The 19,611-nt window shown below is 38.2% G+C and overlaps 1 non-coding gene and 1 pseudogene across 1 annotated transcript; both read right to left on the bottom strand.

The window, feature by feature from the left end:
* Window positions 1-4,297: 4,297 nt before the first annotated feature.
* LOC102724148 (putative ankyrin repeat domain-containing protein 30B-like) lies at window positions 4,298-19,591 on the bottom strand (annotated as a pseudogene).
* On the bottom strand, window positions 9,086-9,192 carry LOC124903275 (U6 spliceosomal RNA). The gene has a single exon (XR_007063971.1). It is a non-coding gene; the product is annotated as a U6 spliceosomal RNA (small nuclear RNA).
* Window positions 19,592-19,611: the final 20 nt, after the last annotated feature.

Here is a 19,611-nt window from a genome sequence, read left to right as displayed (position 1 = left end):
ACAATGGATTGGATGTATTGAGGCCACTCACAAGTAACTGGATCTAAGACTTTTGACAGGAAGGCCACCATGGTCTGCCGATGGCCTCCGTGTTCTTAAGTGAGCACTCCTAAAGCTACCCCATTATCCACGTTGACAAAAAGGTGGAATGGCTTTTCTAGGGAAGGTAAGGCTAAGACAGGGGCTGTTATAAGCCTTTTTTCAGCTCTTCAACCTGATGGACTTCCTCAGAAGTCCACAGGAAATGGTCAGTCTTCCCCGGGGCAAGTTTTGGATATAGAATTTTACTGTTTAGTGCATGTGAGTTAATCCATAAGCAGCAGTATCCAAATAACCCTAAAAATTTCCTGAGTTCTTGTTTAAGTTTGAGGCAAGGGTAGGGACACGATTCCCTCAACTCGTTCAGGCCCTATTCTTCACTTCTCTGCACTTAAAAGTGGTCTAAATATTTAATTTCAGGTTCTACATACTGAAGCTTTCCCTTTGAGACTCATAACCCCTCGAACTGCAGATGGTTGAGAATATGTGTAGAGAAGCCAGCTACCTTCTCTATATCTTCACCAGATATAAGAATATCATCAACGTATTGGAGCAGGCATATTTGTTTGGGATGATAACTTTTTCTAATACTTGTTCTAAAATTTGACTGAAAAGGTTAGGGGAGTTTGTGAACCCTTGGGGTAAGACTATCCATCGATATTGTTGTTTCTACCCTGAATGGGGATCCTCCCATTCAAAAGCAAATATATCTGGCCTATCTTCAGCCAGGAGACATACCCAAAAAGCATCCTTCAAATCTATTACAGTAAACCATTGATTATTATATGGAATCTTGCTGAGAATGGTGTAAGGATCGAGGACAATTGGATGGGTAGTTTGGACTATTTGGTTAATAGCCCTAAGGTGCTGTACCAGCCGATATGACCCATCTAATTTCTTGGCTGGCAATATTGGGTTGTTATAAGGGGACATAGAGGGCCCAAGAAGCCCATCTTTAATAAGACCTTCAATTATAGGTTTCAACCGTATCCTGCCCTCTAGGGGAATGGGGTATTGTTTCCTCCTTACTACTTCCCTGGGGTTTTTTACCTTGATGTGCTTGGAGGGACTCAGAGTTTCCCTCAGTTTCCTTCTTTGGATCAGACATTAGAATTAATATATTTTTCATCTGCAGTGGTGAGTAGCTTTAATGAGGTGAGGAATCCTCTTGGGCTGAGTTGCAGGCCTATGCCTAACTTCAACATTAAATCCCTGCCTAGTAAATTAGTCCCTGCTTTAGGGATTAACAAAAACTGAATATGAGCTGATTGAGCCTGGTATCTGACTTCTGTGTTTTCTAAAATTTTTGCTTTAAATCCTTCTCCCTTTACCCCACAAACCAAAAGTTCCTCTGAAGAGCAGGCAATATTAGATGGGGGGGAAACAGAGGATCGAGCCACTCCTGAACTGACTAAAAAGGTTATAAACTCATGCTTAGGTCCCACTTCTAGACTTATCAAGGGCTCCTGGTGGGACTCCAGATAAAAGAGACAGAACCCCTGACACCATTATTCTTCCTCAAAAGCCATGAGTGGAAGGGCTTCCTTTTCCTTTTCTAATTTGGGACATTCTCTCTTGAAGTGGCCTGTTCTTCCACATTTGTAGTGCCTACCTTGCCCTTCCCCACTCTCAGTTCTGGGATTCTTTGATTTTACTCCCCCATGCTATTTAGATGGCCTGGTAGACGAGAGCCTTGATCCTCCCAATGGAGGCTTGGTTCCTTTAAAGGAGGGTTTGGAACCTTTATAGTTTCTGGCCCACTGGAAGCTCTGTTTAGGGGTACATGGGTTTGGAGCCATCTGTTGGAAGGTGAATAACATAAGTTTTGTCTTTTGTTTTCGCTTTTCTTCGTCTCTCTTCACAGATACTTTTTGAGTCTCTCTGAGGTTCACTTGAGGTTACTTCACTTGAGGTTCACTTCTCATTGAAGTTCACTTGAAGTCAGTTTTCCCAATCTTCTAATTTTTGTAACTTTTTTGAAATATCTGGACAACGTTGGCCAGGCACAGTGGCTCATGCCTGTAATCCCAGCACTTTGAGAGGCCGAGGTGGGTGGATCACGAGGTCAGGAGATTGAGACCATCCTGGTTAACACGGAGAAACCCCGCCTCTACTAAAAATACAAAAAATTTGCTGGGCGTGGTGGTGGGCGCCTGTAGTTCCAGCTACTTGGGAGGCTAAGGCAGGAGAATGGAGTGAACCTGGGAGGCGGAGCTTGCAGTGAATCAAGATCGCACCATTGCACTCCAGCCTGTGTGACAGAGAGAGACTCCATCTCAAAAAAATAAAAAGAGACATCTGGACAACTTTTAGTGACAAAAATGGAGATTTAACATTCCCTGTCCCAGGAGATTTTCCAAATTTAGGCCTGCATATTTTCTCATTTGCTCCTTTAGTCTGTCTAAGAATTTCATAGTCCACTCATCTCTCTCCTGTTGTATATCAAATGCTTTGGAGAGATTTTGAGTTTGGGGTACTGATTCCCTAGTTTCTTTCATTATCATTTCCCTTATGTCTTGCATATTTTCTTGGTGAGCTGCGTTATTATTATCCCACCGGGGATCTTGGGCAGGGAATTTTTGGTCCGTGGTAGGAACGTTTTGACAAGGAGTGTGTTCATATTCCCAAATTGCCATAGCAGCCCTACGGATCAGATCATGCTTCTTTCCTCCTCCGAAAAGAGGATGCCTAGGATGGACATAAACTCGACCAAAGTGTATAACTGAGGTCCCAAGAATTGATCAACCTGATCTGCCACCTCATAAGGGTCGTCTAACAATGGCTTAATTTCCTTTTGCAAACTTCAGACTTCTGAACTGGTCAAGGGAGCATTCACAAATACAATGGCTCCTCCTCCTTGTGGCATGTCTTTTAAGGGGAAGAGAGTTAGGGCTGACTCTTTAGGTGTGGAGGGAAAAGGGAAGTTCTGAACGTCCTTTTTACATTGCTGTACCTCATGCTGGAGTCCCTTTAGGGAGAGGTATTTAAGCTGACAGGGGACAGGCTCATGGGATGATAACTCCCAAGAATTAGAGTTGTAAGGAGGAGTAACAGCGTGAGCAGGAGAAGGATCTGGGGTGGGATATGGGGTGGCAGCAGCTGCCCGAGGGGAAGGGTCAGAGGTACTGAGCAGGGCAAAATGGTATAGGGGATCCCATGTGCTGGCTTTAGGTGTGGGAGTCAGCTCGTCTGACTTTTCAATTTGAGATACTGGATCGGGTTCTTCCCTAGTTGTCTTTATGGGAATAAAGACAGGTCCCTGTCTCCAACAAAGAGCATAGTCTAGTTCTTCTTGAGAAACCAGATTTTTATCATTAACATATTGAATTAGAAGTTGACATATTACATTCTCAATCGACCCAAACTTTGGCCAGAAGATTGAGTGTTTGAAAATGGGACCTTGGGTCCAAATGAAACAGCAATATTTTATCCTCTAATGCTTTTTCTTATGTTTAGTCCTCTCATTATCCTTCCAATATTTTAACATGAGACCCAGGGGACTATGAGGGGCATGTCTTTGTTACTATCCTCTTCTTTTTTGCTCCCTATCTTACTTGGGGCTTTTCCCATGTTAGGTCCTGGTTAGGCTCAATCCCGCATGCTAGAGATTTCTTCCCTATCCTTTATCCCCACCTGCTGGAGGCTCCTCACACCCTTCTTTCACTTCATCCACTCTGGCTGCTTCCCTCCCAGGAATTTTAGGTCCCTCTTAGCATTGGCATCATGGTATAAACCCCACAGCAAGATCTGCCCTGAGCCCTATGAGGATACAGTGAATTCCTCTTCAAAGGTTTTTTATTCAAATAAAAAACCGCAGATAGGACCCACTCACTCCTCACAGCAATAATGCTTAGTATCATCCACACAAACAGCACCACAAGCAGTAGTGCTTGTGATCATTTACACACACTTTCAACCTCCAGAATATCCCGACCACCAAGGAAATACTTTGTCACCCCTGCGACATTTCTTACCTCGGTCTGTGCACAGTTACCTGGTCGCCACGGTATGTGAAGATCTTTTCCCCAGAGTTGCTGGCCTGTTTCTTTCCACGTTGCTGAGAGCCCGGGTTTATTAATCGCACCAGTTGTGTCTTGATTCCTTACCTTTATGGCCACTGCAACGAGGCAGCGGGGTGCACCTCCTCAAGGGAGAGGACTGGACCCTCCCCCAGAGGAGAATGGGAATGTTGGGTGGGCCCTCAAATTTGTGGAAAATAATTTTCGGTGCCACAAAGAACCGTCAGCACTCCAGCAACAAGTTTTTACAGCAAGGCAAATTTACTTCTATGGAAGAGTGGTCTTGCAGATGGAGCAAAGGCAAGATCACACCGGACAAGGGAGGGGAAAGTGTTCTTATTTCTAATGCAGCTAGTCCCTACTGTTGTGTCTTTTCCCTATTGGATAGGGTTGGACTGCACACTCTAAGCCAATTCAGATTGGCTATTTCAAAGAGGGCAGGGGTATGAGCTGGAGTGGCAGGGTGAGTAGTTTCAGCGGGAAAGACAGTTACAGAGCAGGTGTCTAAGGATGACTAAGGACAGAGCAGGTTACTAAGAATGACTAAAGACAAAGCAGGTGTTAGAGGCTAGAAGGGGGTTGTTTAATGAAACTAGGGGCAAGGAGGCATAACGAACGAGGAAGTTAAACTTTAAAACGGAGAACAAAGAACGGAGAAGCTGAACATACTGACATATTTGTTCTTTGATGAGGAACTCAGAACTCATTGTACTTAATCTTCCCCCCTCTTGAATTTTAAAGGATGTTTACAGGCTAAAATCTTTGAAGAGGAATTCACTGTATCCTATTCGTCAGGTGTTCTTTCCACCAAGCTTTCGGCCGTGTCAGCTGTTCTTTCCGCCAAGGGTGCAGCCTCGTCAGGTGTTCCTTCAGATGTTCCTTCTGCCAAACACACAGTCTGGTTAAGTTTTCCTTCTGCTAAATATCATCCTTCTGACTCTTTACCTGGAAAACTTCTACTCATTCAGCTTGCTTTCCTTAAATACTACCAAACTTTTGTTTTCTCCTTTTTTTTTTTTTTTTTTTTTTTTTTTTTTTTTTTTTTGAGACAAGAGCCTCGCTCTGTTGCCCAGGCTGGAGTGCAGTGGCACGATCTCAGCAGATCACTGCAACCTCCGCCTCCTGGGTTCATGAAATTCTCCTACCTCAGCTTCCCATGTAGCTGGTATTACATATGCATGCCACCCAGGCCCAGCTAATTTTTTGTATTTAGTAGAGATGGGATTTCTCCATGTTAGTCAGGGTGGTCCCAAACTCCTGTGCTCAAGCAATCCGCCCCCTTTGGCCTTCCAAAGTGCTAGGATTACAGGAGTGAGTCACCGCTCCTGGACACTACCAAACTTTTTAAAGCTTTAATTCTTCACGTTGGATATAAAATGTCTGACACATACTGAATATGGTAATGACATAATAAGTGATAGTTATAAGCTCCCAAAGGGGTTCTGGCACAGAGTAAGCACTAAATAAAGTAGTAAATAATAAAAAAGATGATAATAACAAGAAAAATGCTTAGTAACTTAATAAAGTAGTAAATAATAAAAAATGACAATGATAATAACAAGAAAGATGCTTAGTACCTTAAAGATACCTGACAGTTATTTGTTAAGTGGACAAGTGGATACACAAATAGAAAACATAGTTAGGAAATTCTGTTGGAAAAATGAAGAAATTCAATAGAGACAGCTCTACTGTATTATGAGCACCTTAAAGACCCAGACTATGTGTATTCCATGTTGGTCTCCTGCAACTTGCAAAATCTAACTTATAGAAGTCCTTTGATAAATATGTAATAAATTAAAGATGTGTTCATACAGTTCATATTGTACAATGTATTCTGTCACATTTAGGTATCACAGTAGCACTTTTGTTATTGTGAAAATTTTTTCCACTTTTATTATAATTCGTTGAGCCTAGAGTTGAGCTAGTTGTATATTTATAATGATAATATTTTGGCTAGTAGGAACGGAGTAACTTGTTGTAACAAAATTACTATCAACACACTAATTATCCAGCAGATAGAACAACACATCTTGTTCTAATGAAGTAAATATATCTTATTTGGTTTCAACTTAGAGGGAATGAAATTGATAATAGTGAGACCTTGTTGGTACAAGACTATGTAACATAACCTGTGCTTCTCAACAAAGAATTGCTTTTCTGACTTCTGCACTCAGTAGGTATCTTTGAAAAATAATCTCCTATTGGTACTGATGCACCCTTGCTAAGTTATGTTAATTCTTATTGACATTCATTTATGGTGCAAGAAAAGTATTATTGAGTTCCAAATTCTAAAGATAGTTACTTTTTTAGTGACGCAAGTCACTATGCCACACAGTTGATCTTTGAATAAGGGTTCTCACTCTAGGAGCCCACTAATAGACAGATTTTTCTTTTCCTTTGCCACTGCAAGATACTAAGAAAAATCTCGCCTCTGCCTCCTCCTTATCAGCCTACTCAACATAAAGGCAATGAGAATGAAGTCCTTTATGTATAATAATTCACTTCCATCTAATAAATAGTGAATATATTTCTTCCTCTTTATAACAGTTTCTTTTCTCCAGCTCACTTTATTCTAAGAATACAGTATATAGTACATATAAAATAGAAACTATGGGTTAATTGACTGCTTAAGCTTTCACCTTTTTTCAGGCTCCAGGTCAACAGTAGAATGTTGTAGAGTTTTGGAAGAGTCAAAAGAAACAGATTTTCCTATAAAGCAGATTTTCAGCTGCATGGGGGGATCAGCACCCTAACTCTCATGTTGCTCAATACTCAACTGTAATTAATTCTAATTTTCTAAATGCAAATCATTTATTGTAAAAATTAAATAAAGCCCAGAAGTTCAAGACCAGCCTGGGTAACATAAGGAGACCATGTCTCTACAATAAAGAAACAAACAAATAAATTATTTATTTGTTTATTTAACAAATAAACATTTTATGTTTGTGTTTAATAAACAAATAAATTATTTATTTGTTTATTTAACAAATAAACATTTTGTTTATGTTTAATAAATAAACAAATAAATTATTTGTTTATTTAACAAATAAACATTTTGTATGTTTGTTTATGTTTAATAAACAAATATTTGTTTATTTAACAGTTAACTGTGTTCCTTTATAGGTTATAATATTCAAATGTTGCAGCTTTCTGTTATTAATTCCTACTTTTCATTATTAGAAGTTCTATTATTTGTGGCTTGTAATTCAAGGCACCGATGCTATTTTATAATTTGTAATAAAATTTATTTATAAATATATTAATTCATTAAATTGGATAAGCTGATAATCCCCTATTACTGAGCTCATCAATCACACCAAGGATTATACATTTTATAACAAGCATAAATTTTTATGACAGTTGAGGAAACATACAATAGATAAACTTAAAAATTGTTTTACTTATTTATACAAAAGTATTATATAGGATATTAGGGACCACAATTAAACAAATATTTTTTCAGATAATATTTTTGAGATTATAAACTACCTACAACTAAATTCTTAATGAATTCTGAATTATAAACTAAAAAATTAAATCAAAGCTTTGTATATAAAAAAACACTTACATATAGGTCTATATGTAAACACATGCTACTTACACATTGCTTTTCTAATAGCTCTTTTGTGATTAACACTCCTATAATCTTATGGTAGCACCACCAAGAGTAGTTTACTATCAGAGGTCTTACCTGGATTACTATTTTGAGAATTTTTAGATATCTTTTGTTTATATTCCAAAAGTTGTTGATGAATGCTATGTATAAAAATGAAATAAATAAAATCACTATTTTAACACTGATATAAAAAAATTTACCAAATTTATTACATTCTTAGAGTATTTCAGACAATATTAGAGCTAACATCAGAACATTACTTTTTCCATAGACTTTAAGTATACAAGCTCTATGAACTTATTAAGCTTCTAATTAAAGAAGAAAGAAAGATAAAACACTCATAAAGTGAGGGCAGTATAACTCAGTAAATTAACTAAAGTTAGCTTGACATATGGAAAATGTCCCTAACTCGGAATAAGTCCTAGCATGGCTACCAACAGGTATTTTTTCTTGAACAAGTTGCTTCTCTTAGACTCAATGTCTTCTAAAAATGAGGATTTTAGGGCCTTATTTCACTAGGTTATTATAAAGATTTAACAAGATAACATTTTTAAAATGCTTAAAATAAAAAATGAAGCAAAAAAATTATTTGTTCTTGAACCTTATTGCTGAAACAATTTAAAATTCCCAATAAAACCCAATATATTGGCCTGGTGCAGTGGCTCATGCTTGTGAGGCAAGCACTTTTGGATGCTGAGACAGGAGGATTGCTTGAATCCAGAAGTTCAAGACCAGCCTGGGCAACATAGGGAGACCATGTGTCAACAAAAATTAAATTACAAAAAAAACAAAAACAAAAAAAATGTTTTTCTTCATAGGTTATAATATTCAAATATTGCAATTTTCTGTTATTAATTCCTACTTTTGGATATTAGATGTTCTATTCTTTGTGGCTTGTAATTCAGAGCATCTAAGCTATTTTATATTTTGTAATGAAATTTATTTATAAATATATTAAATAATTAAATCAGATAACCTAATTATACTCTATTACTGAGCTCATCAGTCACACCAAGGGCAGAAAACTAATAGATGTCAACATCTGGCTTGGACTACTACTACTCTTTATCTACCTCCTTAAACTCTGAACCAACAAATCTTTGTTAGAATGATGCTTAGTCACTATGTTCATTTCCAGCTGCTGTGGAAGACAAAACCCTACCTTTATTTTTTGTAAGTTCCACAAAGAAGATGCAAGTTGGTATTTTCTCATTTCTGAGATCCCTACTAACAAAATATTGCACACAAGATCCTATGTGTTACCACATCTCATTTCATAGATCACCTTATGTAAATAATTTTTTGTATGAAAATCACAATTGCAATACTGGGTGTCACCCATTTTGCTTTGACTCACACCATTTCCTTGGAGCTAGTTAGAAAGTAGTAAAATGTCCTTTTGGGGACTGCAAGAAACATGCAACACCTTACAGATTTCTATGTCATCCTTGTGCGGGGACCATGCTGATCTTCTCAACGTTGTCTTAATTTTACTATATGTACCACTGAAGCCAGCACAAATCCTTACTTTTATACGTGAAGACTGATGAGTGATGGATGAGGCTTAGCTCTGTTAAATCTAACCAACTTACTTGAGATTTAGTGAAGTCTATTGAATGGCTTCATGGTGATGCAGCATTTGAAAATATTTTAGAAACTCGAGGTGGAGATGTAAGTAGCATGGGAGATTTTTACTTTTAGGAAAAAAGAATCACTTGAGGGGACAACCACAAGTTGGAACCCACTACAACTTGGGAAAGATGACATGGGATTTTGTAGAATAAGATGAGACCTTCCACTACCTACAAAATGGTGCTACACAGGATATAAAGGGCCAGGGATATAGATCTGGTAACAAAGACAAAATGGATCTCTAATTTCTTCCAGTAACATTATTTCAACCTGACTTACAGTTTCAAACTACCACAACTAATATTGGCTAGAGAAAATAGAAAAAAGCCACTCAAAGGATAATTTACCATGAAGGTCTAGGCCATGTCCAGGCTAAGATGTGGGTTTCACATCAGGTTTTGAGTGTGAGGAGAAGGGTCAATTTGCTCACTATGTGTGTGGCTAAAGCTAAAAGTTCTAGCTGCCAGAGTGGGGTGCTGGTACTTTGGAAACAATGGCTGAGAATATGTACGTGAACTTTAAAAACATGTCATAACTTGGAAGTCTATACCATGAAGACTGAGGAATCTGTGTTAGTAAGGGCATCCTGGTCACAAAGGTCAATCATTACCAGACTGCAGGAGCAGTTTCAATGGCAACGATGCAGCAACAGAATCAATGGAAACAGCAAAATGAAGAGAATGGCCATTTCCCACCCCCCAATCCTTCTGACTTGTACAAAAGGAATGTCTTCCTTGGACTTAGGTTCAGATTCTTTTAAAAAATTCAAGAATGAAGGTATGGAAGACAGCCCCCTGGGGACACTATCAGGTTTTCTGCTTAAAGTGGACATTTTGAGACCCAAATAACTAATTAGAAAAACCAAAATTGTGACATTATATTTATCCCATGCATAGGGGTTATACTTCAAATCAAGTAGACAACATTAGCGTCCCTAAAGCCCTAAAATAAAGAATCCTGGAGCCATTAATATTTCTAACTAGTCTAGCTTTTTGCCTAGTTTCTGGCTGATGAAGTGAACTAACTCACTGTCATTCAAAAACTACCTGAAACAAACTATAAAATCTCACCTAGCCTTTAAATGTAAACACTTAGAGATTAAATCCACAAGCAACAGCATAACGTTCTGCAATCATTCCACATGTAGCTTCAGCACAGATGTCAACATTTTGCTGAAGAACCGTGCCAACTATCTCTGATGATCCATGACATATGGCAAGCACGAGGGCTGTGCTAAAATAACAGAGATAACTTCATTATTAGGAATGAACCAATTTAATATGTGCCTGTCAGTATAGAATTAGCCATTTACATGTATTAACAAATGTTAAGTATCTTGAGTGCTCAAGTGTTTATCCTTGTAAATCATGACCAAGGCTAAAAGGAAGGGGTGAAAAGACTCGTGTCTCACTGGGATATGGCATAGTAGAATTGGCTAACATAAAGTCCACTGAGGGGCAAGAAAATATGTTCTGTTCACTAATCTAAAAGAGGCAAAGTTTTAAGTGAAGAATTATCTATTTCCTCCTTAGTCTGATATAATATTTTGTGCTTCAAAATTAGCTAGAAGTCGGACAAGTGAGAGCAATCTGAAGACTTAAAACAATATTAGGAATAATATTGTCCTGAGTACCTGGGACTACAGGCTTGTGCCACCATGGTTGGCTAATTTTTATATTTTTCATTGAGATGAGGTTTTACCATGTTGGCTAGGCTGGTCTCAAACTCCTGGCCTCAGGTGATCTACCCACTTGGCCTCCCAAAGTGCTGCGATAACAGACAACAGCTACCATGCCCAGCAAATATTGCATTTTTTAAAAGTGTATGAAAAACAGAAGTTAGAAAAATACTATAAAGGTGTTAATCATTCAATATTGAATTATAAAGTAAACTAAAAATTCATACTTCTTAAAACTAATACAGAACCACTTTAGCTAATAGAAGATAATGCAACCAAAAACATCAGATTACAAATAAGAATCAGTCAGTATAATAAAAGAAGAAAATCCTACTGTATACTGTTCTTTGTGTTGACCAGTCCAAATAATTGCTTTTCTTCCTAACTGATAATTTGTGTTGGTATTTTTCTGTATAATCTAATAATTTTAAGTAAATTTTATTAATTTAATATTTCTGACTTGAGTGTTATTACTCTAGCACACTACTCAAGTGCTTTTTAATAAAAAAACTACTATACCATTTAAACTTATCAACTCCATTTGCATTTGCATTTTTTTGTCAGTAAAAATTCCACAATTTGCTCACTTCTTTTCCTTATGGCCAATAAAAGTGGTGTGTGGCCAGCCTGTAAAACAGCAAAAACAATTTATAATTCATGAAATTACATATTTCTCAGCTGAATTGAATACCTTATATAATATCCTATGAACTTAAACAATGGAAAGTAAATCAATAGCAATCCCTTCTTTCTCACTTTTCTGTGCTTTCCCATGCACTGCACCTTCTCTTGTAAACATTCAGCCTCTGCATCACCACATTAACTCTGGTTATCTCCAAAAATCATTACATTGTAATGATTTTATTGTTTCCCATGTAAACCAAGAGCTTCTTGAGGGCAGGGGCTGTATCTTTTACCTCTATATCCTTAAACCCTAAGACATAGTAGTAAATACTTTATTTTTTACTAAATTAGTAATCTAAATTATTACTTCTAGAACAGTGTTTCTTCAACTTTATTCCAAAGAATAATTACCTTACCAGAAGCACTGTACCCCAACAGATTCCACCATTATCTATGTTCAAGAAATGTTATAAAACTGTGAATTAAATGTTCATTATTCAAGAAATGAATTGAACTTTACCTAATCCTTATTTGACAGTATATTTTTGTGACAAACATTAACATTTGACAAATTAGAATTTCAGGGATGCAGTTTTGAAAGCTTCCCCCCAAAAATGGAGGTTTCCTCTGGGTGATACAAACTCACTTGATTCTCTTCTATCAATGATCCCAAGATTCCAAATGCCAATGTCAGGCACTCCTGCTCTAAATGGGTCACTAAGGAAGTGGCTGTAAATTAAAAGAGATTGGCTTCAAATAAACTTTGATTGCATATTCTTAAATGGTCCATGGGGTTTATCCTATTACCAGACAATAGGATTTTATCTCAGCTATTAGAAATTCAGTATAAAAGGCCAGGCAAAGTGGTTCATGCCTGTAATCCCAGCACTTTGAGAGGCCAAGGCGGGCAGATCACAAGGTCAGGAGATCGAGACCATCGTGGTCAACATGGTGAAACCCCATCTCTGCTAAAAATACAAAAAATTTAGCTAGGCGTGGTGGAACATGCCTGCGTCCCAGCTACTCAGGAGGCTGAGGCAGGAGAATCGCTTGAACCAGGGAGGTAAAGATTGCAGTGAGCCGAGATCACACCACTGCACTCCAGCCTGGTGACAGAGCAAGGCTCTGTCTCAAAAAAAAAAAAAAAAAAGAGAAAGAAAAAAAGAAAAGAAATTCAGTATAAAAGTTTATTCTCTATTAGAATGATACTCCTAGGATCCTAATGCATATCTACTTCTTAAAATGCAATAATCCATTTTTATTCTGGTTTCTATTGTAATTGATACTATTTTTTGGCAAAATATCAGAAGTATGAATAAAATGGCTTATTAATGAAAGTTCTAACTCATGTATGTGGCTTAGCAAAATAGAAGCCACTAAATCACTTGAATTTTAAGGGACAATTCTGTGGAGAAAGATATAATATTTTTTCTGCAATATGCATAACATATTCAAATATAACCATGATTAATCTAAAAAGGCTTAAAGGCCTTCTAATAGAAGATGATTATTTATGGTTTATATGAGAAAAATCATCATTTATAAAATATTCTAAATTCTAGAAGACAACCCCATTATTAATGAATTAATGTAAAATATAAACTATATATTATAAACACCTATAAACTGCCTTCAATAACTTGAAATCTTTACCAAAATGTACTATGAGAGAGGAATTGATAACTGAAATATTTAAAGAGGCAAAATAGGTAAGTTGAATAAGTGATGTAACTAGGTGGGCACAGTAGCAAACTGGAAACATATGCTTTATGTAAAACTAGAATGTCTTCATAGCATACCAAACAGTCATACGGGCTCAAGAGACACAAGATTCAATCCTTTAAGAGGAAATCCAGATTTCTGCATGTCTCCTAAATTTTACATGTTGACTCAATTTATGCAGGCAAATTTTACTTTCTTGTAGTTTTACACTAACTGGAAAGAAAAAAAAAACTTGGGTGGGAAAGAATATTTGAAAATGTTTTACCTTTAACAAATTTAAATATTTATCATAATGCACAGAAAAGCCATACTAATAGTTCTTGTAAAAATATTAATATTTAAAGCAAAATCCTAGACAATTAAGTTTTGTCAAACTATTTTCATAGAAAAATAGGAATGTTTGAGCTTCCAAATATAAAACAATTTACATATGTTAATGTTAAAACAAATGGATTTCAAATATTTTGAAAATAACATTGGTTAATGTCTACCTTGTTCTTCACTTCAATGTCTGCACCACAGGACAGCAATTTTGCCACCACTGACAAATTCTCACTGTTAACAGCATAATGGACAGCTGTGTTGCCATACACATCTACAATATTTGGATCAGCACCAGAATCTATGAGAATATTTGCACAAGCCTCCCTCTGGCATTGCAGAGCCTGTCAGTATTAAAGCAAGAAGTAAATTATAAATTATAGGAAATATAAATAAATATTCCACAGGTTTCACAAACTAGTTATATTTCAATGAGATAAATTCATTTTATTTTTTATTTTTTATTTTTTTTTTTTTTTGAGATGGAGTCTCGCTCTGTCGCCCAGGCTGGAGTGCAGTGGCGCGATCTAGGTTCACTGCAAGCTCCGCCTCCCGGGTTCACGTCATTCTCCTGCCTCAGCCTCCCGAGTAGCTGGGACTACAGGCGCCCGCTACCACGCCCGGCTAATTTTTTGTATTTTTAGTAGAGACGGGGTTTCACCATGTTAGCCAGGATGGTCTCGATCTCCTGAGCTCGTGATCCGCCCGCCTCGGCCTCCCAAAGTGCTGGGATTACAGGCGTGAGCCACCGCGCCCGGCCTTCATTTTTATTCTATGTATTTAAACCAAATCCATCTCCTGCTGAAAGAACTGGCTACCATTTACCTTCATCAGAGTTGTCCTGTTTTCGCCATCAAGGACGTCAAGCTGGCACTTTCTATCTACCAGAAGTGTTACTACTTCTGCATGGCCATTGGCACAGGCCCAGTGTAGAGCAGTCCTACGAGAGTGAGAGGCCTTTTAAGGAAAGTTTAGTCCACTGTCTCAAAACATAGAATGATTTATGTAATTGTCAACATTAAATACCATGCTCTTTCTCTGCCTTCAAAACAAATATTTAATATTCTCCTGAAGAAACTACAACATTCATTCACTGTTATTACTCACTACATTAATGAAAGAGTGGCCTATTTGAATAGAAAGAGCTTGGCCTTTGGATTCAGTTCAACTTGGGCTTGAATATTACTTTAAAGTCTTTCACCTTTCTGTGCCTCAATTTTCTCATCAATAAAGTGAAGATGAATACAGCAGTTATCTCACAGGACATCACTGTGATGCCTCATGAGAATCTGTGCAATGTATTTCGAAGAATTCCTAGCACATGTAACAGCTCAGTAATTGATAGATATTGTAATTATTTCTACTACTTAACAAAGAAAACATTTTAAGTAAAATGGTACAATTATGCCTACTTTGTGGTATGTTTTAAAGGTTAGAGATAAAACTATTTTAATAATTCTAAGATACTCTATTTCTCATATTTTAACATCTCTGACATTGAAATGCCACTTATAAGTCATTATTTGTTACAAGTATATTTTGCAGAAATTTAAACGATCTTTTATTGGTACATAAATATAAGGAGGCATCACACCATTCACCGTGCCTTCCACGAAGTGGAATATGGTATATACAACAGGACGATGGCAGTCCTAGTCATAGGATTAACGCTTAAAGAAATTTTAGCTTTTAAGAGTGCTATACAAAAGGAGAGTTGAAATAAAAACAAACTGTTAAAACAAAGTACTTCTTTAATATTTTTAAAACTTCAAGCCAAAGAAAACTTGGGATTCAAGTAGGTATGGCTCATTTTATTCCATGTTTAGATTTACAGAATGTATGTAAATTCATATTTAAATTTATAGAATGCATGTAAATTAGGTATTTCCAATGATTAATATTATTATTTAAAGCTGTTATAAATTTCCAAAATCGTGGTTGGTAGTTATCTTTTACTAGTTTCTTACTTCAGAAGTGTTTTTGTTTTAAAGATGAGAGGAAAAGCTTCAATTGAGATTCATTCCTAGTACTCCAACTTTAAATCTCTCACTTTGCTAAGGCTGAGCAGGTAAATGTGAAATTTTTAAGGATGAAAGGATCTTGAGAGTTAATGTATCTTCTACATAATAGGCATTCAGCTTACATGTGATAAATTGATTAAAAGGATAAATACAGTTGAGAAGTTCAATACCTTAAAAAAACTGCTATAAATAAAGCACTTATATTTTCTATTTTATTTTCTTAATAATAAAACTACACTAATTAATCTATAATTATTGACATATGTGTAAGAAATCTATATACAATAAAAATATGTGCCTAATAAGATGTATATGTAAATCAACAAGCACAGGTAAAAAGATTGTCTTTTGAAGATGCTAAAAGTTCACAGAATATACTAATCCACAAAAAATAATAATTAAAATATGGAAAGTGAGAAATTATTTTTATTGGTGCAAAATTATATTCCTGCTCTTCCCAAAAATTATTTCATTAATAATAAACTTTTTCTAACAGCATTGTACATGCTCAATGTGGAAATCAAAGATAATAAAAAGGAAAAACATTTTATATTAAAACAAATGCCCTCAAATAACAAATTTTATCATATTTCATACACAACTTCAGATAACGCAAGTCTGTGTGTATGTATAATCAAACTGAACTTTACCCTCACTTGATACACCAAAATACATTTTCAAATGTCACCTACTTCTCTACATATTTCTACCTTCAGTGGTCACATATTATCCCATGCTGTAAATTCACTGAAATGTATTTATAAAAGTCATTATATGGATTCTTCTTAATAATATGGTACTTACCACCAAATTGTCTATTTGAAAAGTTATCTGCAACTTAAACTTTAAACAGTAGTATAAATATCACTGCTCTTTATCCTCACAAACTTTGTAGATAGAAAGCAGTATTTGATTCCTCTTTTAACTTAAATGCCTTCTGTAACCAGGAACACTAAATATTGTTTTCTGTGTGCATAGGTCACTTACAGATCTTAAGAAAATATTTTCCAAATTTTAAATTAGAAGCAAAGTACTATTTTTAGATCTGCAATTTAGATCTCTAATTTAAATTGCTCAATTTTAAATTAGAGGGTTTTTTTGTTGATTTAAGTGAATTATCTGTAAAATGATGATTTAAAAATCTAATATGTATACACACACGCACATACATGTGTAGTAAATATTTTACAAGTATGCTGCCTTTTATTTTTTCTCCTTACAGTTTAATTTAATTTTGTTTTGCTTAATTATCCTTCAGACTGCTTGCTTCTGAGCTTCTTAGAAAGGTGTTGTCAACATAAAAATGTACCTGTGTAAATAGGCATTTATGTTTTCTTCTGGTGCTTTTATCATTTTGTATATTAAAAAAAATTTAATCTATATTCCATCAGAAATTTACTTTGTGGCATAAAAATCTAGTTTTCTCCAAAAAGCAGGCATTTCACTTATGAAACTAATTCTTTCCCTACTAGTATAAAGTGTGAGCATTATCAAATTCTGAATTCTTAGATATTTGGGTGTTTCTGGATTTTCTACTGTGTTGTTTTCATTTACCTGTCTTTTCAGCTGTTATCAAATAATTTGTGATTTATTTATTTATTTTTGAGACAGAGTCTCACTGTCGCCCAGGCTGGAATGCAGTGATGGAATCTCAGCTCACTGCAACCTCCGCCTCCCAGTTTCAAGCGATTCTCCCTCCTCAGCCTCCCGAGTAGATGGGCTTACAGGCTCCCGACATCGTGCCTGGCTAATTTTTGTATTTTTGTAGAGTTGGGGTTTCACTATATTGGCCAGGCTAGTCTTGAACTCCTGACCTCAGGTGATCCACCCACCTCGGCCACCCGAAGTGCTGGGACTACAGACATGAGCCAACACGTCTGGCCCTTTTTTTTTTTTTTTTTCAAATTTTATTTATTTATTTATTTATTATTATTTTGAGACGGAGTCTCGCTCTGTCACCCAGGCTGGAGTGCAGTGGTGCGATCTCGGCTCACTCCAAGCTCTGCCTTCCAGGTTCACACCATTTCTCCTGACTCAGCCTCCCAAGTAGCTGGGACTACAGGCGCCCACCACCACACCCGGCTAATTTTTTGTATTTTTAGTAGAGACCGTGTTAGCCAGGATGGTCTCGATCTCCTGACCCCGTGATCCACCCACCTCGGCCTCCCAAAGTGCTGGGATTACAGGCATGATCCACCGCGCCTGGCCATGGCCCATTTTGTGCAAATTAATAGCACATTTTGAAATCTAGAAGGGCAAGACTTTTCTACTCCGTTACAAAATTTGTTAAATGTCATCACAATAGTAAAAGACAGCGTGTGTAATTTTAAAAATGTTAAAACGTTGATAACTTTATTTGGTTTATGTAAAACTGATAAAGAACTTGCATCTTCAGAAAAATGAGTCTTCTTAAATTCGAAAACATAAACCATCTTCCCACCTCAAAGTTACCTTCTAAGGTCCCTCAGCAAAGAATATATTTACATAGACATTCATTGATATTGAAATGGATACTGGACTTTATCCAAAAAATTTTTAGCCAAGAAGTTAATATATTATGGGAATTATTTCATTATGCACCATTTCATAATGTATCTAACATTATCTTTTAAAACCTGTACATTAAAAGTAAAACCCTGTATGTACTTAATTTTGTAAGTTAAATCACTTTAAAATTATCTACACAGTGCTCTGTGAGAGGAAGTGGGAGTGAAGGAGAAAGCAGCTAACTAAAGTTTGGGGTTGATTTTAAGGTGGCCTGGGCCCTCCGCCCTGCAGGGCGCCCCCATCCAAGGCCTGGGGGGCCTTCCCGGGAAGAAGATCAAGACCTCGGGGGCCAGGACGGCCGCCCCGCTGCCCACCACTCCTCCACCTGCTCCCCTCGTCCCCAGGACCCCCAGCCCCCACTCTGAAGGGGCAATCCTCCCACAGCCTCCTCCTCCTCCTGCAGCCCCGGCTCAGGCAGGGCCTGGTACCTCTTCTTCGCATCTCTTATGTTCAGGTCCATTGTCGTCTTCTTCATCATCCTCTCCAGCTTCCAGGCTTGGCCCGGGAGGCAGCTTTGTGGATCTTCCTGAGATCCCCATGGTGAATCACGTAAGAGTCGTTGTTGGTGTAGACCAGCTGACTGAAGGGGCTTGGGCGCTCTGGGCCCGTCTGGCCCTTGACAGCGGCGGCACAGAGCCTCTCCATGGCTGCAGCCACCTGCTAGAGAGAGCCCGTGCCTCCCGCTGCTCGCCCTTCCCCAGTCCCCGCCGCTCGCCCTTCCCCAGTCCCCGCCGCTCGCCCTTGCCCTTCTTCAGTCCCGCACCCGCCCTGACACGACTAGCAATCTCAGTCGGCCAAGCTTTTGGACACTCCAGCCTCTCCAGGGAGAAAATGGCTGCGCAAAACCGTTAGGCAGCTGAGCAGAACCGTTAGGCAGCTGAGCAGAACCGTTAGGCAGCTGAGCAGAACCGTTAGGCAACAGCGCATGCGCAACTCAGCAGACCTGGGAGACACGCGAGGCAGGAAACCGCCCTGGCTGCGCTTCGCCCAGCACGGCGTGCAGGTGGCACCTGCTACTGAGGCGCTATCGGGCTGGCAGGGCTCCTTGCAGCGGAACGTGGGGGGCTCCCTGCCACATGGCCTGCTTGACAGAGCCGCCCCTGGCCCCTCCTCAACCTGAGATCCAGGAGCTGGGCCCTGGCGCTGGGCATCGTGCAGCCTCCAGGGTGGCGCTGAGCGTCGGTTCCCGGCCTCCTGCAGCCAGGGACCCAACCCCTGACTTAGGCGCCCTGGAGGCTTCTGGCCCAAGTATCCGCGCGGCTGGTGGCGCTGGCAGGGTCAGGGTTGCAGCCTCTTCTGCCACGTGCCATGTTCAGGTGGCAGCTGCAGCTGAGCCCATGGTAGAGGCTACAGGGCTGGGCCCAGACCGCTGAGCATCGCCGAGTACATCGC

This window comes from Homo sapiens, chromosome 13 (assembly GCF_000001405.40).
Source record: "Homo sapiens chromosome 13, GRCh38.p14 Primary Assembly".
Lineage (NCBI taxonomy): Eukaryota > Metazoa > Chordata > Mammalia > Primates > Hominidae > Homo > Homo sapiens.
Note: the sequence above shows the minus strand (reverse complement) of the source record. Positions and strands in the feature narration are given on the sequence as shown.